At 40.3% G+C, this 11,277-nt stretch overlaps 1 protein-coding gene and 1 long non-coding RNA gene across 33 annotated transcripts in view; one reads left to right on the forward strand and one right to left on the reverse strand.

Moving 5' to 3' along the window:
• Positions 1–11,277, reverse strand: part of LOC124901750 (uncharacterized) — a 224,798-nt gene that overhangs the window by 184,300 nt on the left and 29,221 nt on the right. The gene's annotated exons all lie outside the window — the stretch shown is intronic.
• Positions 1–11,277, forward strand: part of CALD1 (caldesmon 1) — a 259,231-nt gene that overhangs the window by 91,888 nt on the left and 156,066 nt on the right. Inside the window, exon 2 of one of the 29 annotated variants that reach the window (NM_001438783.1) lies at positions 6,205–6,241. The exons of the other annotated variants lie outside the window; for them this stretch is intronic. The gene's annotated coding sequence lies outside the window, so the exon portion shown is untranslated. The remainder of the gene's footprint in view (positions 1–6,204; positions 6,242–11,277) is intronic. 29 annotated transcript variants of the gene reach the window in all.

Here is an 11,277-nt window from a genome sequence, read left to right on the forward strand (position 1 = left end):
ATCCCATTTATCATTCTTTAAAATTTTATGGCTAGTTCTTTTTCTTTTCTCTTTAAGAAATATTTGCATACTCTATCTAGGTTGCAAGGATCTTCTATTTAAAAAAAACTTTTAGTTTTTGTTTTTATGTTTAGATCTGTGGTCCATGTAGAATGAGTATTTGTGTATGGTGTCAGATAGCAGTTGAGTTTCATTTTTCCCATTCATTTATCCAATTGTTCCAGAACAATCTGTCAAAAAACCTTGTCTTTATGAATTGTATTGACTCCTTGTTGAAAATCATTCATCTCCTGCATAGGTGTGGGTCTAATTTTTTTTTTTTTTTTTTTGAGACAGTCTCACTGTGTCACCCAGGCTGGAGTGCAGTGGCACAATCTCGGCTCGCTGCAACCTTCGCCTCCTGGGTTTAAGCGATTCTCCTGCCTCAGCCTCCTGAATAGCTGGGATTACAGGTGCAGGCCACCACACCTGGCTAATTTTTGTATTTTTAGTAGAGACAGGGTTTTGCCATGTTGACCAGGCTGGTCTCAAACTCCTGACCTCAGGTGATCCACCCGCCTCGGCCTCCCAAAGTGTTGGGATTACAGGCGTGAGCCACCACACCCAGCCAGGCATGGTTCTATTTCTATAGCTTCTTTTCTGTTCTATAGATTCATTTGTCTTTTCTTGCAAATACCAAACTGTCTTGATTACTGTGGCTTCATTAATGTTAGACATTGCTTGTTACCTTTCTACTGTTGGAGATAAGGATTTAGTACATTCATACAATCTCCCCGTTCAATACGGCATCTTCCCCATACTTTCAATATTATAATAATTGTATGAATACTTCATAGCTTACCACATAGTATACTATGATTACATTTTCTTTCTATATTACCACTTTCCTTGCTACTATCCCCCATGATTTAATAATGACTTCGTTTCTTTTACCTGTTTGTTTTCTATCATTAATGCCTGCCCCAGGGTATCTGACAGGAATGTCAAACCCTTTTTAATACAGTCAAACACATCAGGTAATTTGTCAATTATTTTTCTTTAAAGAGACTTTTCTGGAAACTTCTTGGCATTTTCTAGGTTTGGTGCACAGCTTGCTGTTCTAAATCTTCACTTCACAGTCATCTGAGGCATTTCCTTCCTAGGACTGAAAGGAATTTCCTTTGTATGTGGGCTGAAATTTGAATCCTCCATTTCCTGGTTCCCATTATTCCTCCTTCTTTATACTCTTGTTTTGATGAAGAAGATTATCTAAGAGCATCTTGAACAAGCGTCCAGGGACGACAACATTTCTTAGAACTTAATTGTTTTTAGTATCTTTGATTTAAGACATACTTGATTAATTTATTGGCTGGGCATAGAATTCTAGGCTGGAAATCATTTTTCCTAAAACTTCCCCAAACATACCTGCACTGTAACCTCCCAACAGGGTCTCCTTGCCCGCTTCCTAGACAGAGCTGATTTGTCAAGATGGGGAATTGCAATAGAGAAAGAGTAATTCATTCAAAACCGGCTGTAGGGGAGATCAAAGTTTTATTACTGCTAAAATCAGTCTTTCTGATAACTCAGGATGGGAATTTTTAAGGGTAATTTGGTGGGTAGGGGGCCAGTGAGTTGGGAGTGCTGATTGGTCGGGTCGGAGATGAAATCATAGAAGTAGAAGCTGTCCTCTTGAGCTTAGTCAGCTCCTGGGTGGGGGCCACAAGCCCAGATGAGACAGTTTGTGGATTTTTATTCATTCTGAATACTATGGGCCTGTTCAATCCAGAAAAACACATCTTATAGTTAGAAATTTTCTTATATAATTTTGGTGATAATTTCCTTCTCCTCATTTCCCATGTTCTGATACACACAGTCTCCTCTGTCACTGAATTATTGAGAGCTTGAACCTCCTAAACCAACTCTCTGATTTTGTATTTTCTTAACTATATTCTACTTTTCTGTATCTTATTCTAATTTTTGAGAGTTTCCTTAACTTTGGCTATATATTGTTTTTAGCCATAGTATTTTTAATTTCTAAGGGTTCTTTGTTGTTGTTGTTGTTGAACATTTCTTTTTATAACATCCTGATCCTCTTTCATAGATACAGTAGTTCTCTATGCCCCTGGAAATATCATTTATATTTTCAGTGCCTTTCTGCCCCTGCCTTATCTGAGTTTTCTCTGTGTTCCTGTTTTCTATTATTTGTGCTAGTCTCTGTCTTTCATTCTTCCCTCAGAATCCTGGTGATCCTTGGCTGTCTGTCCATATATAGGAGCAAGGCAGTAAAAAGCTGATTAAAAGCTATGGGTTCAGGAGTGCTGGCTGGCAGAAAATGGGCCAGTTATCTTTCTTCCCATGGCAATCTCCAAATACCCATATCTCTAGATCCTTTTTCTTGAACAAGTTTATCCAAAGATTTTCTTTTTGCTCTGTTACCCAGGCTGGAGTGTGGTGGTGTGATCTCGGCTCACTGCAACCTCTGCCTCTTGGGTTCAAGTGATTCTCCTGCCTCAGCCTCCCGAGTAGCTGGGACTATAGACACGTGCCACCACACCCGGCCAATTTTTGTATTTTTAGTAGAGATAGGGTTTCCCCATGTTGGCCAGGCTGGCCTTGAACTCATGACCTCAAGTAATCCACCCTCCTTGGCCTCCCAAAGTGCTGGGATTACAGGTGTAAGCCACCACACCCGGCCCCAAAGAAGATTTTCCAAAACTCTTCCTCTGAGTTGTAAGCAAAGGGTCAACATTCTGAGAAGTCTTAGGGCATTACCTGCATTGCAGAGCCATCCCCATGGCATAGTTTCCCCATTTGCCTTTGGTAGGCCCTGTCAGTTTCACTGGTTCTAGGCCATGTTTCACATCAGTGTCTTGGCTGGAATTCCTAAGCAGATAGTTCATATTTGCTTCCCATTCCCTCCCACAAAAAGGGGTTTTTCTCCCCCCAGCCCACGGTTTAGCTTCCTCATTAGTAGGCTGTCATGGGTAGAGGGTTTCCATTTGTGTTCGTAGATGAAATGCCACCTTTCTAGCTTGTGGCTTTACACAGGCGCTCAGTTCCAGTTTTCTGCCGTGTTACCAATGAATGCTATCATACCCTTAACTCAGGCCAACTTCTCTGTCTTTGAGTTTCCTCTGTATTCTGGAACCTGGAGATGTTCTTCTCTTGCTTACAAGCTCATTTAAGTGTTGTTTGTAAATGTTTTGCTTATTTTTTCTGCAACATTTATGCATTTGAAGCAGAGTAGAAATGCTTCTTGGATCTGCTTAGTCCATATTGACCAAAAGTCTAAAGTTATTGATTCAGAATTCTGGACTCTGAGAGCAATCAGTAAATTATAGTGCCTCGGTTTGCTTGTGTGTATATTATCAATCCTTCGCCAACAATTTTTTTCTGTTAAAAAAATTCCTGTTAGAATTTTTATAATACTTATTTTTCTATATCTGTCCATTAGTGTAACATGGTGGTCAAAGGAGAATTTTTTTCTGGTAGTTTTTCCTGTCACAACATGGCTCCCAAAGAGTAGATCTAGTAAATGAAACAGATTGCCTTGGACTATCTTAATAACCATTGCCATCATTTTTCCCCCAAATTTCACCTATTTATTCATTCAGATTGCATTATTAATTGAGGAAAATTAAATTATCTAGTGGAGATTTAGCTTTGAAGGTAATTTCAGACATGACAGCTGTGGTCGGAGGAAGATTCTCAGTTTGTATGCAAGTGGAGAAGCATCATCATGGGCAGAGGACTTAGCCCCTGGTCCTAATTTCTATTTTTCCATGCTCAACCTTTTAAATAGAAATGAGTCTTGTAATGGGAAAAATGGAAATATTGCTCCTTGAGGATTTGAAGAATATGAGACCTGAAGACCTCAGATTTTATATCTATTAAAACATTGGCACAACCATGCAACATTCTTTCCATGATACCATGACTGGTTTATTGAGGAGTCTCAACTCACTGGGGGTATAAAGAAGAAATGATTTCTATTTTTCCCTATCAGTACTGTTCTGTGTCAAACTTCCTTTTATTACTAGCTACAGGGGGCCTTTAATTACATCTCCGACCAGTTTCTAAACTCAAGAAGGATAAATTGCTCCTACCCTCACCCCACTCCCCCAGGCTAGAGTCTAGTGGCTTAGAATTGTAGGGTTCTGGCTCTTAAACAGCTTATTTTCCTTCATTCCAGTGAATAACCCTGGAATATGGGGGAGCATGAAGAGGGTGGAGGAAGAAGAGGTCTGTACTAGACTTCTCATAATAACTGGTGTTATGAAATGACCTAAGCCAATCTGCCTCTTCACAGTTGTCTGGAGTGGAGCGATCTCAGCTCACTGCAACCTCCGCCTCCCTAGTTCAAGCAATTCTCCTGCCTCAGCCTCCTGAGTAGCTGGGATTACAGGTGCCCGCCACCATGCCCAGCTAATTTTTGTACTTTTATTAGAGACGGGGTTTCACCATGTTGGCCAGGCTGGTCTTGAACTCCTGACCTCAGGTGATCCACCTGCCTCGGCCTCCCAAAGTGCTGGGATTACAAGCGTAAGCCACCGTGCCCGGCCGATTATCTCCAATTTTTAGATGTAGGCACCATTTCCTCCCAGATAACCTCAATACCAGGTGATATGTTACAATGGAAACAAGTCTCAGAGACTAAATTCTGCCACACATGAAACAAATAGGCATAAAAACAATTACAAAGCCTGTTCCATACATTTGGTAAAGTCCCCATTCCATCTTTTTTTTTTTTTTTGAGACAGGGTCTTACTTTGTCGCCCAGGCTTGAGTACAGTGGTGCAATCATGTTTCACTGCAGCTCCCAACTCCTGGGCTCAAGCAATCCTCCCACCTCAGCTTCCCGAGTAGCTGGGGCCTTGGGCATGTGCTATCATGCTGGGCTAATTTTTTTTTTAATTACTTTTTGTAGAGACAACGTCTCACTATGTTGCCCAGGCTGGTCTTGAACTCCTGGGCTCAAGTGATCCTCCCAACTCGGCCTGCCAAAGTGCTGAGATTACAGGCATGAGCCACCACCTGGCCCCCATTCTATTTTTTAAAGTGCTCTGACAAGTGCTTTTGCACTTTAAGCAAAAGATCCACTCCCTGGCAAAAGTTACAATATTCTAATGGCAGAGCCAGCTCATGTTCTAGTCAGGCCAGAAAGTTTCATTAAATGGGCACAGGCCTGAATAGAATCCTAGATCTATGGCACGCCTCTGAATGCTGGGTTTGTCAGATTTCTTAATCCCTGTACACACAAGGATGGAGATGCCTGAATAAGTCTTTCTATCCAATCCAATCACATATATTGAACACCCACTCATTTGCCTGGTGAAGCATTATTTCTCTGTCCTTTATGCCAATTTGCAGACCTTCAGGATTTAGAGAATGATATTGAAAACATCAATCTTAGGCTTTCTGGAGTGTGTACTCCTGACTAGAGTCCTTCATATGCTAACAGTTCCTAGGGTGCAGATTAGAATTAATTTACATATATTGTCTGCACTGAAGTATTTTAAAACAAATTTTCAACAGTATAACATTGGTGACAATGCTGAGCCAACTCTTAGGTGATGAGGGGCTCATTGCCAAGGGATAAAAAAGTAGTTGAATATTTTAGGATGAAAATAAACTAATGTTAAGAAAATAGTACAACCAGGGGAGAGACTATCTCATAGAATATCTATATTTACTAAGGAAAGAATATGAAGGCTAGAATCCATGAGGATTTTATATTCCTCCCAGCACCCTACTTTTAAGCTGAAATTACCAGTAAAAGTTCATGAGAGACACTGTAGTACAATACCGGGGACACAGGTAGTATACGTACTACAATCCTGCTTATGGGCTCTTGCTAATGAATCATGGTTTTAAATTCTTTTAAATTTTTATGGTTTTAAAATTCTTTTTAATGTAGTATTTTGGGCAGCTGAAGCTGACGGGTCAGAACTGATGCATAAGAGAGAACTTCATTGTAATACAAAAGTCACTGGGTCTGTCCTAGCTGTGAGAACTTAGATAAAATATTGAATCCTTTGCGCTTCCATTTCCTCATCCATTAAAAGATAGGGGTGAGGGGTGGGAGTTATAAGAACTAAATGAAATAATATAAATAATTTAGCCACTGCCTGTTGAGGCTGGATAAATATCAGTTCCCTCCTCTTGTAGCCACAAAGTTTTAACTAAGCTGATATGTTTGTTACATTCTGCTCATGTCTTTTCCAGGAGAACTCCATCTAGAACAAAATGTGCATTCAGCAAGGTATAATTGTGTATGTTTTTATTGTCAGTTTTAGTCATATCTGTCATTTTTTATTTTCCAACATGAAAAGAGAGGTTTAGGGTAGTCACATTGGAAAACAAAGAAAATAAGATTAAAATTCCCTCAAATCAACTTTGGAGCCCTAAAATATTAATGCCTTGACGGCTTACTCACAATCACAAAAGGCTGTGAGCCAACATTCAGCTTTGTATTGCAGAGGTGATGAGAACATATTTTCATTGCTAGAAAAAAAATTAAGCTATACAGACAGAAATGGGACATGGGAGCCAAATTCCACAAGAACACCCTTGAGTTTAAGGGTTTTTCCCCCATCTTTTGACAATATTTAGAAAACCAAAGACTATAAACTTTTAAAAGGAATCTTGGATGACTTACAGAAATAGTAAGGTCACCAAAACACTTTGTAGATATTGAATTTTTATAAAAGTATTTAAGTTGATTAATATTATTCTCAGAGGTAGCATAAACTTAAGGATCATAAATGCTTACTAAAAGTGAACATATTGGGACTAGTTGCCAACTGCTGCCTAATCAACCCAACTGGTCCAATCCTGCATTTTCAGTGAATTGACTTAAATCCTACTCATATGAAATAAATCAGTGGTCGGAGATAGCAAATCTGCCAATAGGTTACTCTCAGCTGTCTTAATTAGTGTTTCCTACATTTTTCCAGTTTCTGGTACACCTTTGAACTGCCAGATTACACCTGGCAGATTACAGCTGATGGAGGATCTATTTGCCCTTTATTTAGTTATATCATAATTCATGTATAAGAATATGTATTATGAGCTCACTATTAGTAGGGTACATGCATGCTGTTTTTCAAAGAGTCAATATCCTCCTGCCTAGCACCCTGGGACAAGAGTGTCCCCTGTGTGATGGCTCCCTGGGGAGAGAGCTACAACAACCATTGAACTGGCCATCAGAGGATCAAACCATTGACTTTATCTTTAGGGTTTCTCCCATGATAGCTGAAGATCTTCTCTTTCTCTGCACCCACATGAGTGTGGGCCAATTTTTGAAACGGCAGCAGTTTCATAAAACCCAAAGTTTACCTGTGAGGCCTGCTCAAGCCTTCATTCTGTGCTCAGCCTTTGCATTCTCAGTCTGAGAATGCCTCCCATCCTCTTTTAGCTGACGATGCAGCAGCTAGGTGTGTGGGAGTTAGCCTCTTGGCAACTCCTGGGCCATGGAGGAATGGCCAACCACCCAAGTTGCCTACAGATTTTCCCAAGCACATGTCTATCAACATGTGCTGTCAGCCAGGCAAATTGTTTCATTGGTCTTGGATGCTTTTCCATTCACTCTGTACTGATTGAAAATTAATCCATAATTCAAGGTTCAGCTCATATACCTCCACCACTTCCTTATTGCCCCAGTGAGAATAAATGGTTCTCCTTTTGGGTTGCCACAGCACAAACCTCCGTGTATTATATCTGACCAATAGGGTTTACTACTCTCATCTCCCTACTTCATTAAAAGGCAAGAACAATTTTTATTGATCCTTGTATATCCTGCCCTCAATTCTAGTGCCGAACACAGCATCAAACACAAAGCAGAGGCTCAACAAATGCTGAATCGAACTGAATTCAATTAATTGAAGAAAGGGTTGTTTACTGACACTGTACTAACACTTCTAATATTATCCTGCCTCACTAGGGAGTCTTCACTGGGGGCAGGGGTCTGGAGTACAATCAGAATCAACTGGACAGTTTTCCAAACTATACAGGCTAATGGTAGTGGACTGTGTTAAAAAGCTATTCAGGATACTCCGAAATTATCCCTGCTCACATCTCACCAATCCTTATGCTAGTTGAGGACCTTCAAAGAACCCTCCCTGTCCAAAATACATCATTCAGAATCTTCTGTTTAGCTCTCTTCATTTTAGTGAAAGTCTCCTAAAACTAGTCCTGGATGTGTTTTCATCACACTTGAAGTTTAATTAACTGATAACTCAGGCACAATGGAAATACTTAGATAGATGCTCTTAAATTACATTTAAACAAAACTATTTACAAGCGATCTAGTAAAAATCTGTGTCTTTAATGGGCTATTTTTAATGTTTCCTAAACAAATTATTGTAGGTGGGCCAATTTTCCCTCTTTACTTGTTACTTAGAAGCCCATTTGGACATGTTCTACCCCGATCTGGTTCTCTCACCCCACTGGCTACAGAATAGTGTGTTTTTGTTTGAAAGGGTCAAAACATTAAGAATGTGACATCCAAAATATGTGCTATTTTTTTTTCCTGGAGTCAAAACCCCTAAAGTATAAATCGTTTTTAAATGAAGAAAGCAGTGCCAAAAGGAATGAAACATATTTGGTCCTTCTCCAAAACAGAGAGATAGCACTGAAACAGGAAGTGGATGATTTAAATATCCACTCGGCATCTTGGCAACATATTTATGTTTAAGGGACTTAAGGTTAAAAGGTTTTTGTCTGGCCTGGGAACACTCTATCTTCCCTAGGGTTTGGAGGTTTGGGGAAAACTTTTAACAACTTATCAAATATTTGCAATTAGCCATTTTTTGGAGAACAAATTGTTACTGAGAATGTCATAGGAAATGTTCCCTATAAGCTGCATGCTACCATTACTCTCCTGCTTCTTATGATAATCTCTTTAGCCACCTAGCTTCATGTGGTAGAAAGTTATTATTTTCTATAAAGAAAGAAGAATGTGGTTCGAGTTCTTGTAACTACTTCTCCCAAAGTTGGAACTACACAGAATGACTGAATAAGCAGAATGCAAAATTGGGGTTTAATTGATTTTGTGTGTGCTGTTTCCAAGGACCACTTAGTGGGCCCATTCTTATAGCTAGAAATCGACAATATCGGGAGTGTTTACACAAGGAAGTAGGCCTTCTCCTACTTCCCACCCTTCAGAGATGAGAGACTGCTATTATCCATTTACCAGCGCACCACTGGAAAGAATAGTTAAAAAAAAAAAAAAAATGAGCTCAAGGTTTTTGGTCTAAAAGACTGGAATAATGGTGTTTTCATTTACCAAACTTAGGAAGAACATACAAGGAGGAACTATGGGAGTGCAAGTCAGTAGTTCAGCTTTGAACATTTTATATTTGTCACAACAATTAGGCATTTGATTGGAATTGTTAAATAAGCAGTTGGATATACAAGTCTGGGGTTCAGGGAAGAGGTCCTGAATATATTTTTTTGGGAGTCAGGCATTTGCATGGTATTTAATGCCAAGAGACAAGACGAGACCAAGCCAGTGAGTTATTAGATAGAGGAGCTCAGTCCCAGGATAATTTTTAGGGTCTTCCAACATTTAAAGGTCAGAGTAAAGACCAGCAAAGGAGACTGAGAAGAGTGGCCAATGGGGCAGAAAGAGAACCAGGAGGGTGAGATGTGCTAGAAGCCAAATGAAGAAAGGACTTCCAAAAGAAGGAAGTGATCAACTGTGTCAAACGCTCATGTATTAATTAAGATGAGAATTGAGAATTGATCATTGGCTTTGGCAATGTAGAAATATTGATGATCTTGAAAAGCATCAAGGATGGTAGAGAAAAAGCCTGATTGGCATGGGTTCAACAGAAGATGGGAGGAAAAGAACTCGGAGCAGTGAATAGAGACAACATTTTCAGAATTTTTTTTGAAAGAGGGGCAGAGGATTGGAATAGGAGCTGGAGAGTTGTATGGGTTTAATGAAGATTTCTTTTTTTCTTTTAGCTTAAGACTAGATATATTTTGACATGCTTGTATGATGATGAGAATAATCTAGTAGAAAGAGATCATTGATGATGCATAAGAGAGGTGACAATTGCTAGAGCAATGTCCTTGGGTAGATAAGAGAGCATGAAACCTAGAGCTAAGTAGGGTTGACCTTCAATAGGAGCATGGACAAATCAGGCATCGTTGCAGGAGTAAAGACAAACTATCCAGATTCAGCTGTAAGTATATTGGAAAATATGATGGTAGAAGCCTGTGATGCTCTTATCTGATTGCCTCTATTTTCTCAGTTCAATAAGGAAGCAAATTCTTCAACTAAGACTAGGTTAGGGAAGCAGGAGGTTTGGAGACTTCAAGGCAACAGAGGATGTTTGGACTTGGGAAACAGCAGACTTGCCAGGTAGCACTAAGGACCCAGTTGACATTACTGGTAACAAATTTTAAGTAAAAGCACTTAGCTTAGCTGCGTGTTTTCCTCCAGCTGGATTTAGCTTCCTGTCTGCTTGCTACATGGAGAGCAGTGTTTAGAGTGATGAATCAGGGGATGTCAGCTGGTAAAGGACGGTGGGTGGCTGAGGCATGTGGGAACACAAGATCATTGGAGGACAGAAGCCCAAGGAACTAAGAGGCCAGGGTATTAGAATGATCACAGACATGAATGTTGAAATCGCTGAGAATTATGGCAGAAGTAGCATTGGAAAGAGTTAAAACCAGGAGCTAACATCTAGAAATGAAGGGAAGTAATGCAGGGATCAGGAAATGACTGCAACAAGGAGGGGTAGAGGATAATATTTTCAGGAAGGAATATAGCTGTGGAGCAAGGAGACAATTGCGTCTACTTCCAGGCTCTGTGATACAAAGGGTATGGAAGCTGTCGGAAGAGCTATAAATCACGAGAGGAAGTATAGAGCATGAAGTTGCAGGGAACATTCAAAGAAGAGTTTGAGATACAGGGTCTTGGCTAATGACTTATCTGGAGTTCCAGAGAAATCAGAAAGGGGAAAGACATTGGGTCAGAGCAGGAGATGCATAGAGCCAGTTGGCTGTGGGAGTAGGGGTTCCACAAGGAGCTGGAAGTCCTGGGGGTCTTGCAGAATGTAAGGCATCATGCAGTCAGTCCCAGTGGTCTCTCATGAAGAGTGTAGTGGTGAGACTGGGACTGCTGTGGAGGGATTTCCTTCCAAGAACACACAGAATTCTGGGGCTCCCTTTCCCTTTCTACTGAGGTTGATTGGAGGCTTGGGAAGGAGTTGGTTACTAAGAGCACACAAAGCCCTGGGGACCACCTTCATTCCTCTAACCCTACGGAAGATGCTATTTATTCCATAC

This window comes from Homo sapiens, chromosome 7, assembly GCF_000001405.40.
Source record: "Homo sapiens chromosome 7, GRCh38.p14 Primary Assembly".
NCBI classification, from domain to species: Eukaryota; Metazoa; Chordata; class Mammalia; order Primates; family Hominidae; genus Homo; species Homo sapiens.